This window comes from Homo sapiens, chromosome 12, assembly GCF_000001405.40.
Source record: "Homo sapiens chromosome 12, GRCh38.p14 Primary Assembly".
Lineage (NCBI taxonomy): Eukaryota > Metazoa > Chordata > Mammalia > Primates > Hominidae > Homo > Homo sapiens.
In genome coordinates this window covers 8,097,882-8,116,214 of record NC_000012.12, presented here as the reverse complement: position 1 = coordinate 8,116,214, position 18,333 = coordinate 8,097,882, and the positions used below count along the sequence as shown (strand labels likewise).

Below are 18,333 nucleotides of genomic sequence, written 5' to 3'. Positions count from 1 at the left end.
CGAGACAGGTGGGTCATTTGAGGTCAGGAGTTCAAGACCAGCCTGTCCAACATGGTGAAATCCTGTCTCTACTAAAAATACAAAAATTAGCCAGGCAGTAGTGGTGCACACCTGTAATCCCAGCTACTTGGGAGGCTGAGGCAGAAGAATCGCTTGAGCCTGGGAGGCAGAGGTTGTGGTAAGCCGAGATCACACCTGCACTCCGGTCTGGGTGACAGAGTGAGACCCTGTCTCAAAAAATATATATATAGATTAAAAATTAGCCAGGCATGGTAGCACACACCTATAGTCCCAGCTTCTTAGGAGGCTGAGGTGGGAGGATCACTTGAGCCCAGGAGGTTGAGGCTGCAGTGAGTTGTGATCGTGTCACTGCACTCCAGCCTGGACAACAGGGCAAGACTCTGTCTAGAAAAAATTAAATATATATATATGACATATATGTATATTATCTGGTGGATATTATTTCTTCCAGTTAATAAATAAGCAAAAAAATCATCATCAAATTGCTTTTCTCCTGGCAGAAACAATATACCTTCATCATCTTCAGACCTATATAACTCTTCAGATCTATATAACTCTTTCAATCTGGCCTACCATTTACCCTGCAGAAAACTTAAACATCTCACCGTTTTACAAGATATCCTGCTGGTTCACTCCATTGATGATATCCTACAGATGCTACAAGGAAAGCAGGACAATACAGTACCCTAGATGCCTTGGTAAGCCTCATGCCATTGAAGTCCTGGTCTATCAGGCAGTGGTTCTCAGTGTGGTCCTAAACCAACAACATCACCTGGGAACTTGTTAGAAATGCATATTCTTAGGCTCCACCTTAGATGTACTAAATCCATAATTTTGAGAATGGGGCCCAAAAATTGGTGTTTTAACCAGCCCTTCAGTTGATTCTGATTGATGTCTGGGGCACTTAAATATCCCCTCCAAAATATCAAATAATGTGCCATTTTGAAAGGCAGGATTCATAGGCCTCTTTGGATTTTTAAGGCAATATATTTCACATTTGGGTGTTCAAACATATTTGCCAGAAAATCGAAAAGCTTCCAGGATTTGGTGACATACTGAAAAGGCTGTTCAGGTGGTCCAGGCCACAGGTAGACAGACAGTCTGCACTTAGCCCTAATAAACTAGCGGTGCTTGAACCCTCTTTGGCAAATCCATGCAGATTGGAGCCTAAAGCAAACCAACCTGGAGATTGGTAGGAGAATTCAAAGGAGGCCAGTAGGATAGTTCAGAGGAAATCATTCCCTCTCAGCGAGTAATTGGTCTATTCTTGAGAAATGCTATTGGGTCCTCAGTGAATCAGAATATAGCAACATGGGACAACAGGTAAAGATGCAACTTGAGGTAACCTTCATGAGCTGAGAGTCATCTAACTGGAGTAGAAAATCATTAGATGCAGTAATGGCTAAGGGTTTGGATTTAAATACACAAAAAAATGAGGAAACAAAGCCTTGGACAAGCACTAAGCAGGGAGCTGGAATTGAGACTTCCATATAATTCATAATTTTTGCAAAACTGTAAATTAAGCAAAAGGTAAACTAGAAAGAGTTCAGCAGTAATACCTCTCCCTGGGCTTTGGGTGAAAAAAGAAAAATTCGTAGGAAAGTACAAGGTGAGTCTACAATATTTTGTTCCATCAGAAATAAAGGAATTGGCCGGGCGCGGTGGCTCACGCCTGTAATCCCAGCACTTTGGGAGGCTGAGGCGGGTGGATCACGAGGTCAGGAGATTGAGACCATCCTGGCTAACACGGTGAAACCCCGTCTCTACTAAAACTACAAAAAATTAGCCGGGCGTGGTGGCGGGCGCCTGTGGTCCCAGCTACTCGGGAGGCTGAGGCAGGAGAATGGCGTGAACCCGGGAGGCAGAGCTTGCAGTGAGCCGAGATCACGCCACTGCACTCCAGCCTGGGCGACAGAGCAAGACTCCATCTCAGAAAAAAAAAAGAAATAAAGGAATTGCTCAAACATTAATGCAAGTACGTCAAAAAGCAACAAATTAGCTTGAAGGCTACTAGCCAATTTTAGGGCAATTTGAGCACCGTATGGACTCCTCTTTTGTAGGTATCATATCTTCACCTTTTACTTCAGCTCTTGCTACAGAAACCAGCCTCGGGCAAGTGCAACCTGATAACACCTTGCCTCAGCCAACCATGAATCTCTTGCTTTCCGTCCCAGGGATCCTCTGACATTACAAGTACGAATGCCCCCTGTACAGAACAAACCTGAAACTGTGCAGGTGCCAACACACCATGAGGAAACCCTGATCCAATGATGGAAGGAAGCTAGTGGATAAATTGTCCCCTCTTTTATCACTTGGGGACACAATTTTAAGGTGCATTCTACACAGCTCCTCAGAGCTCCAGAAGAATGGAGTCTCAGTTGCCCAAAGCAGTAACCAACTTAATAATGCACCCTTGTATTAGCTTTCCCTCTTCCCCATTTAACTCTTCTAGTCTCTCATTCCTGTTAGGCAATAAGAACCTGGGTAGGGGGTGAGACGACAATAAGATCCAAGAAGAGAGAAATCTGAAAGGTGAGCAGATTGCTACAACTGCTTTATTCTGAGGTTTGCTAATTCTGAGCATGGGCAGGAGGCTGAGAATCTGGTCTTTGTACCTGCAGATGGCTGCTGCTAAGGGACAAAAAAGCCATTGGAGCTTTTGGTAGAGCTTTAAGGAGACTTCAAGTACATTGCTAATTTCTCCCTAGAACGTTTTCTGAATTTAAAGACTGTACAACTCAACACTAAAACAAAAACCAATCACCTAAGCAGAAAGCCAAATTTGTCAAAATGTCAACAATTGTTAAATATGGACAATGGACCAACAACGACAGACTGGATTAAGAAAATGTGGCACATATACACCATGGAATACTATGCAGCCATAAAAAATGATGAGTTCATGTCCTTTGTAGGGACATGGATGAAACTGGTAACCATCATTCTCAGCAAACTATCGCAAGGACAAAAAACCAAACACCGCATGTTCTCACTCACAGGTGGGAATTGAACAATGATAACACATGGACACAGAAAGGGGAACATCACACACTGGGGACTGTTGTGGGGTGGGGGGAGGGGGGAGGGATAGCATTAGGAGATATACCTAATGTAAATGACGAGTTAATGGGTGCAGCACACCAACATGTCACATGTATACATATGTAACAAACCTGCACGTTGTGCACATGTACCCTAAAACTTAAAGTATAATAATAAAATAAAAAAAAATGGACAATGGATATATGGTTATTAACTGTATTATTCATTCAACTTCTTTTGAAAATATTCATGATAAAAAGTGGAAGGGAAAATCCCAGGCCTCTGTGTATGTAAGTTTGGAGTACCAACTTATATTATCTATGATATATGTAATTTTGGAGTACAAACTTATATGACTTAGGATATAAAGGAGACTCTGAGCCAGGAATTTAACTTAAAATTAGGTCTCAATCTGATAATAACCCTGAGGACTTAGAAAAGGCAAATGCAAAACCACTCCAAAGAAATACTCCCACAACTGAGGTAGAACAGGATTGCCCATAAGGAAAACACACTAAAGACAAACTCACAACTAAAACTTAAACACATGACAACACATGAAAAAAAAAGATAGTAAATAAATATATGAAAAGAGCACAATCTCACTGTAGTAAGAGAAATGAATATATTTTTCACCCAATATATTAACTAAATATTTTAAAAATAAACTGTTGACAAAATAGAGAAACAAACAGCCTCAGAATTTATATTAAGTATATGAATTAGGCAGAAGATAATATAGAAATAAATCTATCAAAATTTTAAATGTTGGGGGAGGGAGGAAGGGAGACAAGGGTTGACACATTACTGGATACTATGCTCACTACCTGAGTGATGGGATCAGTCATATCCCAAACTTCAGCATCACGCAATATACCCACGTAGGCCAGGTGCGGTAGCTCATGCCTGTAATCCCAGCACTTTGGGAGGCCAAGCTGGGCGGATCACCTGAGGTCAAGAGTTTGAGACCAGCCTGACCAACATGGAGAAACCCCATCGCTACTAAAAATACAAAATTAGACGGGCATGGTGGTGCATGCCTGTAATCCCAGCTACTCAGGAGGCTGAGGCAGGAGAATTGCTTGAACCCAGGAGGCGGAGACTGAGGTGAGCAGAGATTGCACCATTGCACTCCAGCCTGGGCAACAAGAGCAAAGCTCTGTCTAAAAAAAATAAATAAATAAAATACACACACACACACACACACACACACACACACACACACACATATACACACTCACATAACAAACCTGCACATGTACCCCCTGAGTCTAAAAAAAAAAGTTGAAGTTTTTTAAATTTTAATTAATCGCATTTCACCCACCAAGTCCATTTCTGGGGAATCTATCCTTTAAATTTTTCATTTAAGTATATATTATATGTAAAAGATGTTCAGTGTAAAATTTAGTGTCAAAAATGTCAGAAATGTTACTATCAACAAGGACAGTGGTTAAATATATTACGGTACATCCATACTTTAGAGAACCTGAATAGCTCTAAACATAAACTAAACATAAGCAAATACAAATGCATAGGCAAAGAAAGAACTTCAGAACATTATTAATTTTTTAAAAAATAATATAAACAATTTACATGTAATTTTTATTTTATTAAAGGATCTTTGCATAGGCAGATACACACAGAGAGAGAATGCTTTAAAAAATGTCTAGAAGGCCAGGTGCAGTGGCTCACACCTGTAATCCCAGCACTTTGGGAGGCTGAGGCAGGTGGACCATCTGAGGTCAGGAGTTCAAGGCCAGCCTGGCCAACATGGTGAAACCCTGTGTCCACTAAAAATACAAAAATTAGCCGGAGGTGGTGGTGCACGCCTGTAATCCCAGCTATTTGGCAGGCTGAGGCAGGAGAATTGCTTGAACCTGGGAGGCAGAGGTTGCAGTGAGCTGAGATCAGCCACTGCACTCCAGTGTGGGCAACAGAGCCAGAGTCTGTCTCAAAAAAAAAAAAAAAAAAAAGATGTTGGGCCAGGCGCGGTGGCTCACACCTGTAATCCCAGCCCTTTGGGAGGCTGAGGCAGTGGATCACAAGGTCAGGAGATAGAGACCATCCTGGCTAACACAGTGAAACCCCATCTATACTAAAAATACAAAAAATTAGCCAGGCATGGTGGTGGGCACCTGTAGTCCCAGCTACTCGGGAGGCTGAGGCAGGAGAATGGTGTGAACCTGGGAGACGGAGCTTGTAGTGAGCGGAGATCACACCACTGCACTCCAGCCTGGGCGACAGAGCGAGACTCCGTCTCAAAAAAAAAAAAAAGTGTCTAGAAAGATGCACACAAAATTATTGACAATGGTTTACTTTGCAGAAGGGACTGAGGAGAGAAAAGGGCAAGCAAGGGGGGCACTCACACTGTTCCATATACTTTATCATGTCTTTATCATGTGACAAACACTGTATTAGGAGTTAGGGGATGGGGGAAGGAAGGGACATGATTCCTAATTTAAAAACCTGATGTCTAATAGAGAAGCATGTAAATAAATAATTTCAATACAATGGGAGAAGCACAAGACCCCGTTATACACTGTGCAGTGGTGGCACAAAAGAGAAAGAAGAGATGGTTTCTGCTTGAGCTTATGAGGAAAGGTTCTGTAGTGGATGAACAGGAACTTGGGAAAAAAGTATTTGAGGCAGAAAGACCAAAGGACGTAAAGGCACTGTAGTATGAAATAGTGCAGCATATAATTAGATCGGTCTGGCTGGAATATTAACACAAATATGGAGGTTTCCTTTTTATAAAATGAAGGTACAGAGGTAGGCCACAATCAATTCATTAATTATTATCTTTGACACTAGCATGTTGTCACTTTAGGTACAAATTAGTAAAGTTTTTTTTAACCTCTCTATGCCTCTGTGTCCTCGCCTGTGAAATATGGATAACCATATTTCACCCCAGAGGGTAAGAATTAAGAAATCCCAGAAGTAAGAATCCCAGGGGTTTGTGTGAAGATTGAGTGAGACAATCTTTATAAAGCACTTCCCCTAGCAAATGATCGGTGCTCAAAAAATACAGGATAAGAAGACAGTTGGTTTGGGGTTTCTTACTTATGTGAAAAGGTATATACTATAAAAGCTATAAAAGGGGTTGAGCAGGATTACAAAGACAGAATAAGAATTTAAATCCTTACTATGGAATCAGTCTGAAATATGTTTCAGAAGCATGTCTCCCTGTCATCCCTTACTCCCCGTTTCTCCTCTATCAGATGACTCTTCCTACTTCCTGCCCCAATCTTGGGGCATCTACCTCACTTCTAAGACAATAAAAAAAGAACTCCTGTCATTTCGCCCTTACACCATCCCATTACACACCTGGAGAGCCAGAATTAGAAGCAGTACTAGTACCAGCAACAAATATTTAAACGGCACTTACCATATTCCAGGCCCTGTTCTAGGGACTTCAATTACTTTATATATTTTTTAGAGACAGTGTCTCACTCTGTCACCCCAAGCTGGAGTACAGTGGCACCATCATAGCTCACTGTAACCTCAAAATCCTGGGCTCAAGCGATTCTCCCACCGTAGGCTCCTAAAGCACTGGCATTACAGAAGTGAGCCACCATGGCCAGCTAAGCAATTTAATTTTAAAATTTGTTTTAAAGTCACAATATTCCATAGGTACTATTTTAATTTCGTATATGAGGAAACTGAGGCAAACAAAGTTTAACTAATTTTTCCAAGGTCAAAAAGCCAGTAAGTGGCAGAGACAAATTTTGTAGCAAAGTAGTCTGTCTTCTCCCAAATCCATGTTCCTGACCACTACTCTTTACTGCCCATTAATCCTCTATTATGGGTGGAGCTAGGAGGAGGGGGTGTCATTAAAATTAAGTATATTCCCCATTCAAGTATTTATTAAAGTATTAAAGTATGAAGAAGGGATCATTTGGTACTTCATTTTCTGCCTGCCCAAACAGCTATTTTTCTACATTCTCAACAAACTTTGGATCAGTTACAGGCTTAGACCAGACTAAATGCCCCCATCCAGTCTTCATTTCTTTCTTTTTAAATGCTTCCCCTGTTCTCGTCCTATCTTAGATTGTTGAAAAAGAAAATAAAAAATAAAAAACAAATGCTTCCCCTGCCACCAGGAGTCTGAGCAAATTCCTACAACTATTTCAGTTGCTAGGAGGAGCATGCCCTCTAGTGGTCGCATGCTAATATGCAGCCAGATGCAGCACTGACACAAAGTGCTTCAATGACTTTTTTTTCCAATAATAGGTACGTTGGCAGAATACAAATAGTAGGAACAAAGAAAATGTTGAAAAGCAAGTCAAAAAATCCATAGTGGGTCTTAATGCATTATTTTGTTTAATTGAGGGGATGATGTTATCCTTAGATTGATGGGGCAGAACATGAAGTCACAATGGACAATTATTTCACTACTGGCTCAGATGCAGGCAATTTAAGTATACCAGAGCTTTTTTGAAAATATACCACCCTGTATTGTAGGTCTTTGAAAAGGAAACTGAAGATGACAGTTCTAGCAAAATTTTGAAATAAATGTCAAACCATAAAAATGCTGTGAAAACCATCTATATAAACCCAGGCTAAGGACCCACAAGTAAATAAAATTCTCCCTCTTTCCTTCCTTTGAATATGTGACTGATGGAGAATATGTGATTGATGGAGAACTCCTGAACATTAGTCCTATAGTCACATATGTATTTCCTTCATGTACAATTCAGAGGCAATTTAAAAAATGGTTTTTGAAAAGGCTACAAAAAAACTAAAACATGAGCAAAGTGCAATGCAATTTTAGCCACTTATAATTAAAATGAGACGGTAAACTACCAAATGTATCAGCAACTCTACTACATGGTACCTGGTGTTCCATCCCCAGGCCAAAAAGTCTATATACCAAAGTAAAATCTGTCTTCATTACTACTTACTTGGTTCTCTCATATTGACTGGCTCTGAAGCACAAAAATGAGATTTTCTTCACTCAAAACCATACAATTGCATGGAAATTAAACAACCTGCTCCTGAGTGACTTTTGGGTAAACAATAAAATTAAGGTGGAAATCAAGAAATTCTTTGAAACTAATGAGAAATATACAATATACCAGAATCTCTGGGACACAGCTAAAGCAGTTGTTAAGAGGGAAATTTATAGTGCTACATGCCCACATCAAAAGGTTAGAAAGATCTCAAATTAACAACCTAACACCACTCCTAGAGGAACTAGAGAAACAAGAGCAAACCAATCCCAAAGCTAACAGAAATCAAGAAATAACCAAAATCAGAGCTGAACTGAAGAAACTGAGTAGCAAAAAGCCATACAAAAGATCAAGAAATCCCACAGTTTGTTTTTTAAAACAACAAAGATTAATAGACCACTAGCTAGACTAATAAAGGAAAAAAAAAAAAAGCAGAAGATCGATATAAATACAATCAGAATGACAAAAAGGGCATTACCATTGGCCCCACAGAAATACAAAAAACCCTCAGAGACTATTATGAACACCTCTATGCACACAAACTAGAAAACCTAGAAAAACTAGAAATGGACAAATTCTTGGAAACATGCAACCTCCCAAGATTGACCCAGGAAGAAATTGAATCCCTGAACAGATCAATAACAAGTTCTGAAACTGAATCAGTAATAAAAAGCCTACCAACCAGAAAAGGCCCAGGACCAGGTGGATTCACAGCCAAATTCTACTGGATGTATAAAGAAGAGGTTCCTGCTGAACTATTCCTACTGAAACTGTTCCAAAAATTTGAGGAGGAAGGACTCATCGCTAACTGATTCTCTGAAGCCAGTATCATCCTGATTCCAAAACCTGGCAGAGACAGAATAAAAAAGGAAACCAGGTCAATATCCTTGATGAGCATAGATGCAAAAATCATCAACAAAATACAAGCAAACCAAATCCAGTAGCACATCAAAAAGTTAATCCACCATTATCAAGCAGGCTTTATCTCTGGGATGCAAGGTTGGTTCAACATACACAAATCCATGAATGTAATTCACCACATAAAGAAAACTAAAAACAAAAGCCACACAATCATCTAAATAGATGCAAAAAAAGGCTTTTGATAAAATTCAACATCTCTTCATGTTAAAAACCCTCAACACACTAGGCATTGAAGGAATATACCACAAAATAATAAGAACCATCTATGACAGACCCACAGCCAACATCATACTGAATGGGCAAAAGCTGGAAGCATTCTCCTTGAGAACTGGAACAAGACACGGATACCTACTCTCACCATTCCTATGCAACATAGTACTGGAAGTTCTAGGCAGGACAATCAGGCGAGAGAAAGAAATAAAAGGTATCCAAATAGTAACAGAGGAAATCAAATCATCTGTTTGCAGATGAGATGATTCTATACCTAGAAAACCCACAGTCTCTGCCCAAAAGCTTCTAGATCTGATAAACAACTTCAGTAAAGTTTCAAGATAGAAAATCAGTGTACAAAAATCCAACGTCCAAGCTGAGAGGCAAATCAAAAATGTAATTCCATTCAAAATGCCACAAAAAATAATCATAAAATAAAATACCTCGGAATACAGCTAACCAGGGAGGTAAAAGATCTCTACAGCAAGTATTACAAAACACTGCTCAAAGAAATCAGAGATGACACAAGCAAATGGAAAAATATTCCATGCTCATGGATAAGAAGAATCAATATTGTTAAAATGGCCATACTGCCCAAAGCAATTTATAGATTTGATGCTATTCCTATCAAACTACCAATGACATTCTTCACAGAATTTTTTTAAAACTATTCTAAAATTCATATGGAACCAAAAAAGAGCTCAAATAGCCAGGGCAATCCTGAGCAAAAAGAACAAAGCTGGAGGCATTGTGTCGCCTGACTTCAAACTATACTACAAGGCTACAATAACCAAAACAGCATGGTACTGGTACAAAAACAGACACATAGACCAATGTAACAGAATAGAGAGTCCAGAAATAAAGCTGCACACCTACAACCATCTTATCTTTGACAAAGTTGACAAAAACAAGCAATGAGGAAAGGACTCCCTATTCAATAAATGGTGCTGGGATAACTAGCTAGCGATATGCAGAAGATTGAAACTGGACCCCTTCCTTATACCGCATACAAAAATCAACTCAAGAGGGATTAAAGACTTAAATATAAAACATAAAACTATAAAAACCCTGAAAGATAACCTAGGAAATATCATTCTGGACATAGGAATGGGCAAAGATTTCATAAAGAATATGCCAAAACCAATTATGACAAAAACAAAAACTGACAAATGAAACCAAATTAAACTAAAGAGCTTCTGGACAGCAAAATAAACTATTCACAGAGTAAACAGACAACCAACAGAATGGGAGAATATATTTGTAAACTATGCATCTGACGAAGATCTGATATCCAGAATCTATAAACAGCAAATTAACAAGCAAAAAACAAACAACCCTTTAAAAAGTGGGCAAAGGACAAGAACAGGCACTTTTCAAAAGAAGACACATGGCCAACAAGCATATGAAAAATTGCTCAACATCAGCCGGGCACGGTGGCTCATGCCTGTAATCCCAGTACTTTGGGAGGCTGAGGCGGGTGGATCATGAGGTCGGGAGTTTGAGACCAGCCTGGCCAAGATGGTGAAACCCCGTCTCTACTAAAAATACAAAAAACTTAGCCAGCCGTGGTGGCACACACCTGTAGTCCCAGCTACTTGGGAGGCTGAGGCAGGAGAATTGCTTGAACCTGGGAGGTGGAGGTTGCAGTGAGCCGAGATCGTGCCATTGCACTCCAGCCTGGGTGACAAGAGCGAAACTCCATCTTAAAAAAAAAAAAAAAGAAAAGAAAAATTGCTCAACATCACTAATCATTAGAGAAACACAAATCAAAACCACAATAAGATACCATCTCACACCAGTCAGAATGGCTATTATGAAAAAGTCAAAATAACAGCTGTTGATGAGGCTGCAGGAAAAAGGGAACACTTATACACTGCTGGTGGGAACATAAATTAGTTCAGCCATTGTAGAAAGTAGCGTGGTGATTTCTCAAAGAACTTAGAACTACCATTCAACCCAGTAATCCCATTATTGGGTATATACCCAAAGGAATATAAATCATTCTACCATAAAGACACATGTATGCCGCATACGTATGTTCACTGAAGCACTATTCACAATAGCAAAGTCGTGGAATCAACCTAAATGCCCATCAATGGTAGACTGGATAAAGAAAATGTGGTATATATACACTATGGAATACTATGCAGCCATAAAAAAAGAAAAAGAACATGTCCTTGGCAGCAACATAGATAGAGCTGGAGGCCATAAACCTAAGTGAACTAATGCAGGAATAGGAAACCAAATACCACATGTTCTCACGTGTGAATGAGATCTAAACATTGCATACATATGGACACAAAGAAGGGAACAACAGACATTGGGTCCCTGAGTGGGGAGGGGGAGAAGGGAGAGGATTGAAAAACTACCTATCAAGTACTATGCTTATTACCCAGGCGACAAAATAATCTGTATATCCAACCCCCATGACATGCAATTTACCTATATAATAAACCTGCATATATACCTCTGAATCTAAAATAGAAGTTTTTTAAAAAAAGAAAGAAAAGGTGCAGGGAAACATCAAAGATATGGTGGAGAAGGCAGGGATGGTTTGATTGTTTCTTGAAGAGAATCAACTGTCCTGTATTAGGATTCATGGAGAAGCCAGCCGTAGGCTTTCGTATGCACAGAAGCACCCAAATGGCTTGATTTGTAATTATGACCACAGAAACCAATTTATTTGCAAGGCATAAAGTACTTGTTTGCCATCCTAAATACAGAGGAAAAATGGGGAAAATGCACTGGAATGAAAAAAGGAAAATGGAATTTAATTTATTCTGAGGTGGCTTACAATTCAAGGTAAGACCAAGTATTTGTCACAACTGGTGTATCTCATCTAGAAAACATTTAAGGTAATGGACTGGCCTTTCTAAAATGTACTGACCTAAAAAAAAAAAAAAATGAGATTTTCTGCCACTATGGCAAAGCATATAAGGAATACTTAAGTCATGTAGCCAGGAGCAACCCAAATGAAAATGAGTAAAATACAGAAAACACTCAACTTACCAACTTCTAGTCCCTCCTCACTGAAATCACTGTTAATTCCACAAGTACTTCATGAGCATGTACTATCTAGAAAGGTGTATGGGAAGTACTGCAAGTACATAAAAATGAAGACATACATGGTCTTTATATTCAAAGAGCTTAAAACAAGTGAGGAAGAGAATTTCAACAGCAACACTCCCCACCCCTTGCCCCCTCAAATAAACAGATCACCTTTCAGATTGGAAGGATAGGTAAACATTTCATGAAGTAGTATTTGGGCGAGCATTACACAATGGGAAGGACCTCAACAGGCAGGTATAAAAGGGAAGGTATTCTAGGCAGAAAAAATTTTAATTTAGCAAGCACTCAATACTTGTGGCATATGAAAAACAACTAGTGGGGCTGGGTGCAGTGGCTCACGCCTGTAATCCCAGTACTGGGGACGCCAAGGCAGAGGGATCATGAGGTCAGGAGATCAAGACCATCCTGGCTAACATGGTGAAACCCTGTCTCTACTAAAAATACAAAAAATTAGCCAGGCGTGGTGGCGTGCCCCTGTAGTCCCAGCTACTCGGGAGGCTGAGGCAGAAGCCGGTGTGAAGCCGGGAGGCAAAGCTTGCAGTGAGCCGAGATCATGCCACTGCCCTCCAGCCTGGGCGACAGAGTGAGACTCCGTCTAAAAAAAAAAAAAAAAAAAAAAAAAAAAACAACAGAAAGAAACAAAGAAACAACTAGTAGTTCTTAAGTTTGTTAAAGCACATTGTGAGTCAATGGGAAAACTGAGTTGAAGATGAAATTATATTTTGGACTTTATAAGCAAAGAAGAATTATTAAAGGCAATTAATAGGAGAGTAAAAAACATGAGCAGAGCTTTGTTTCACAAACATTACTTTGGGGTTAACATGTAAGCTGAATTAGAACTAAAAAAGCCATTGGCAAGCAGACTGCCTAGGAGGTTATCAGAATGGAGGAAGTGAGGAGTAATACAGGCTCACATTATAACAAGACAAGTAGTATCAAATATAATTAAGGGGAGTTGAGCTAGAAAATTGATTGTCCACATTTTTTTTCCCAAACAAAAACTTAAGGTCTAAGATATACCTCTGTCAATAGCAGTGCCTCAAAATCTCAGTAATGATAAGAAAAGACGCAGTTCAGGAAGTCTCTTAAGTCCTCCTACAGGAAGGCAAAAGCGGGAGGTATATCAGAATCTCTGAAGAAAGCAGTATGTGTTACTTTTTACATATACATATATATATCTTTTTTCCAGCTTTATTGAGGTATGGTTGACAAATAAAAATTATATATATTTAGAATATACAATGTGATATTTTAATATATGTATACATTGTGAAATGATTACAATTAGGCTAATAAACGTATCCATTACCTCACGTAGTTACTTGTGTGTGTGGTGAGAACACTTGAGATCTACTCTCTTAGCAAATTTCAGGTATGCATTATTATTAACTATAGTTACCATCCTGTACATCAGGTCTCGGTGCTTATTCATCTTATAGCTGAAGGTTTGTACCCTTTGACCATTATCTTCCTTCTTCCCTGACCTCCTAGCCTGGGTAACCATGATTCTACTGGGTTTCTGTGAGTTTAACTTTTTCTAGATTCCACTTGTAAGTGAGATCATGCATTATTTATCCGTCTGGCTTATTTCATTTAGTGTCTTCTGCAAACAAAGACAATTTTATTTCTTCCTTTCTGATTTGAATGCCTCTTATTTCTTTTTCTTGCCTGATTGCTCTGGCTAAGTCTTCCAGCACTATGTTGAATAGAAGTAGTGAGTGGGCATCCTTGTCTTTTTCCTAAATTAGAGGAAAAGCTTTCAGTTTTTCACCACGGACAATAATGTTAGTTCTGGGCTTGTGATATATGGCCTTTATTGTGTTGAAGTAAGTTCTTTCTATATCTAAATTGTAGGGTATTTATCACAAAAGAATGTTGAATTTAGTTAAATGCTTTTTCTGCATCTATTGAGATGATATGGCCTTTGTCCTTCATTCTGTTAAGACAGTTTATCACATTTGATTTGTGTGTGTTGAACCATCCTTGCATCCAAGGGATAAGTCCCACTTGATCATGGTGTATAATCTTTTAACAGGCTCTATTAAATATACTAGCCAAATTCAGTTGGCTAGTATTTTGTTGAGGATTTTGCATCTGTGTTTATCAGGGATACTGGGATGTAATTTTCTTGTAGTGTCCTTATCTGGCTTTGGTATCAGGGTAATGCTGACCCTGTAAAATGAATTTGAAATTATTCCCTCCTCTTCAATTTTCTGGAAGAGTTTGAGAAGGATTGGTATTAGTTCTTTCTTTTTAATGTAGGAGAAAAGGCATATAAATTTCATTTATTTCTGCTCTTTTTTTTTTTTTTTTTTTTGAGATGGAGTCTCACTCTGTCACCCAGGCTGGAGTGCAATGGCACAGTCTCGGCTCAGTGCAACCTCCGCCTCCTGGATTCAAGCAATTCTCCCGCCTCAGCCTCCCGAGTAGCTGGGACTACAGGCGCGTGCCACCACACCCAGCTAATTTTTGTATTTTTAGGAAAGACAGGGTTTCACTATGTTGGCCAGGCTCGTCTCGAACTCCTGACCTCGTGATCCACCTGCCTCGGCTTCCCAAAGTGCTGGGATTACAGGCGTGAGCCACTGTGCCTGGCCTGTTACTTCTTTCTTTCTGCTAACTTTAGGCTTTGGCTAGTTCCTGTAGGTGTAACATTAGCTTGTTTGAGATCTTTCTTTTTTCTTAATGGAGGTATAAACTTCCCTTTTAGAACTACTTTTGCTGCATCCCATAAATTTTGATATGCTGTGTTTCCACTTTAATTTGTCTCAAGATATTTTTTTCTTTTTTGATTCTTTGACCCATCGATTGTTCAGGAAACTTTTTAATTTCCACATGTTTGTGAATGTTCTGGTTTTCATCCTGTTATTGATTTCTAATTTCAGACTATTATAGTCAAAAGATACTCAATATGATTTCAATCTTAAATTTGTTAAGACTTGTTTTGTGACCAAACATATTTATACTGGAGAACATTCCACGTGCACTTGAGAAGCATATGTATTCTGCTGCTGTTGAATAAATGTTGTGTATATGTCTCTTAGGCCCATATTGTCTGAAGAGCAGCTCAAGTTCAATGTTTCCTCTTTGATTTTCTGTCTGATCTATCCATTGTTGAAAGTGGGGTATTCTATTGCTGTCTATTTCCCTCTTCAAGTCTGTTAAGAGGGCTGTTCTGCCATTCTTTTGTTCCTTTACTTTCTTAATAAACTTGCTTTCACTTTTAAAAAAAATCTGTTATTTGCTTTATATATTTTGATGCTCCAATCATCTTGATGAATTTACCTCTTTGGGCCAGGCACAATGGCTCACACCTGTAATCCCAGCACTTTGGGAGGCTGAGGTGGGTGGATCACTTGAGGTCTGTAATTCAAGACCAGCCTGGCCAACACGGTGAAAACCCATCTCTACTAAAAATACAAAAATCAGCCGGGCGTGGTGGTACATGCCTGTAGTCCCAGCTTCAGGAGGCTGAGGCAGGAGAATCACTTGAACCCAGGAGGCAGAGGTTGCAGTGAGCTGAGATCATACCACTGCACTCCAGCCTGGGCAAGAGGGAGATTCTGTCTCAAAGAAAAAAAAAAAAGAATTTACCTCTTCAACGTTTATGTAATGACCGTGTCTCTTGCTCTTGTTATAGCTTTTGACTTAAAGTCTATTTTGTCTGAAATACATACAGTATTCCCCCCTTATCCTGAGGGAATACATTCCAAGATCCCCCTTGGATGCCTGAAACCACAGATGGTACTGAACCCTATATACATTATGTTTTCTCCTATATATACACCTATGATAAAGTTAAATTTATAAATTAGGCACAGCAAGAGATTAACAATAAGTAATAATAAAATAGAATAAATATAACAATATGCCAGAGTCACCACTCTTGTGCTTTGGGGCCACTATTAAGTAAAATAAGGGTTAACTGAATTTGTACAAGCATTGCAATACCACAACAATCTGATAACTGAGAGGACTATCAAGTGTCAAATAGGTAGGTAATGTATATAGAATGGACACATTGGACAAAAGGATGATTCACATCCAGGGCAGGGCAAAGGAATATGGTGTGAGATTTCATCACACTACTCAACTGTGTGCCACTATTTTTTTTTTTTTTTTTTTTGAGACGGAGTCTCGCTCTGTCGCCCAGGCTGGAGTGCAGTGGCGCGATCTCGGCTCACTGCAAGCTCCGCCTCCCAGCTTCACGCCATTCTGCCTCAGCCTTCCGAATAGCTGGGACTACAGGTGCCCGCCACCACGCCCGGCTAATTTTTTCTATTTTTTAGTAGAGACGGGGTTTCACCATGTTAGCCAGGATGGTCTCGATCTCCTGACCTCATGATCCACCCGCCTCGGACTCCCAAAGTGCTGGGATTACAGGGGTGAGCCACCGCGCCCGGCCCCCAGTGTGCCACTTTTAAACTTATGAATAATTTTTGTAATTTTCCAGTTAGTATTTTCAAAGCACAGTTGACTGCAGGTAACTGAAAGCACAGAAAACAAAACCTCAGATAAGGAGGGACTATATAGTAATATAGCTACCCCTGCCCTCTTTTGGTTTCCATTTGCATTAAATATCTGTCTCCATGCCTAACTTTCAGTCTCTATGTGTCCTTAAAGGTGAAGTGATGCTCTTGTAGGCAGGATACAGTTGAGTCTTGTTTTTTTAATTCATTTAGCCACTCTGTCTTTTGATTGGAGAATGTAATCCATTTTGCATTCAAAATAATCATTAATAGGTAAGGACTTACTGCTGCCATTTTTCAAATTGTTTTTTGATTGTTTTGTGGGCCCTTTGTTCCTTTCTTCCTCTCTTGCTCTATTCCTTTGTTATTTGATGATTTTCTATAGTCCTTTGATTGTTCTCTTTATCTTTTGTGTATCTACTATAGTTTTTGCTTTGTGGTTACCATGAGGTTTACATAACACTTTTTAACAGTTTATTTTAAGCTGATAATTTAAATCACATACAAAAACTCTGCACTTTAACTTTCCCTCCCATATATATTTTTTGTTTTGTTTGAGACAGGGTCTTACTATGTTGGCCAGGTTCGTCTTGAACTCCTGGTCTCAAGCAATACTCCCACCTCAGCCTCCCAAAGTGCTAGGATTACAGGCGTGAGCCACCACACCCAGCCACATTTTGTTTTTGATACCAATTTTCATATTTTCATACTGTGTATCCACTAACAAATTACTGTAGCTATAGTTTTATGGTTTTGGGGGGGTTTTGTTTGTTTTTTTTGGAGATGGAGTCTCACTGTCACCCAGGCTGGAGTGCAGTGGTGTAATCTTAGCCCACTGCAACCTCTGCCTCCCAGGTTCAAGTGATTCTCCTGCCTCAGCCTCCAGAGTAGCTGGGATTACAGGCACCCACCACTACGCCCAGCTAATTTTTGTATTTGTAGTAGAGACAGGGTTTCACCATGTTGGCCAGGCTGGTCTCGAACTCCTGACTTCTGGTGATCCACCCGCCTCAGCCTCCCAAAGTGCTAGCATTATAGGTATGAGCCACCATGCCCAGCCTTGATTCATGTTTTTTGTTTTTTCTTTTGAGAGAGTCTCATTTTATCATCCAGGCTAGAGTACCATGGTACAATCACAACTCACTGCAGCCTCGTCCTCCCAGGCTCAAGTGACCCTCCCACCTCGGCCTCCCAAGTAGCTAGGACTACAGGCACATGCTGCCATGCCCAGCTAATTTTTAGATTTTTTGTAGAGATAAGATCTCGCTATACTGCCCAGGCTGGTCTTGAACTGGCTTCAACCAATCTTCCCACCTTAGCCTCTCAAAGTGCTGGAATTACAGGAGTAAACCACCAACCACATCTAGCTAATTTATCTCCTGTGGCAATCACTGAACAAGAACTCCCAAGACCTTTTCTGGTTTCCAAAGTCTGTGGTTCTGACCTTAGTTATTTCTCTTATACTGATCCCTTTCATTTCTGCTGATTACAGTTAAGATATAAGAGGTGGCCTAGATCATGAAGATAATTTGAAGCAAATTAAATTAACTGTACCAGAAAATAAATAATGAATATTCATTGATTACACAGAGTGCTCTGTCATTTTAGAACCATGAACACAGAGGTCTAGTCTCAACTTCTTAAAAGCCTTA

General features: G+C 39.7%; 1 protein-coding gene across 1 annotated transcript in view; it reads right to left on the bottom strand.

The window, feature by feature from the left end:
- CLEC4A (C-type lectin domain family 4 member A) overlaps window positions 1–13,308 on the bottom strand; it is a 35,701-nt gene extending 22,393 nt beyond the window's left edge. Inside the window, exon 1 of the mRNA XM_017019382.3 lies at window positions 13,233–13,308. The gene's annotated coding sequence lies outside the window, so the exon portion shown is untranslated. The remainder of the gene's footprint in view (window positions 1–13,232) is intronic.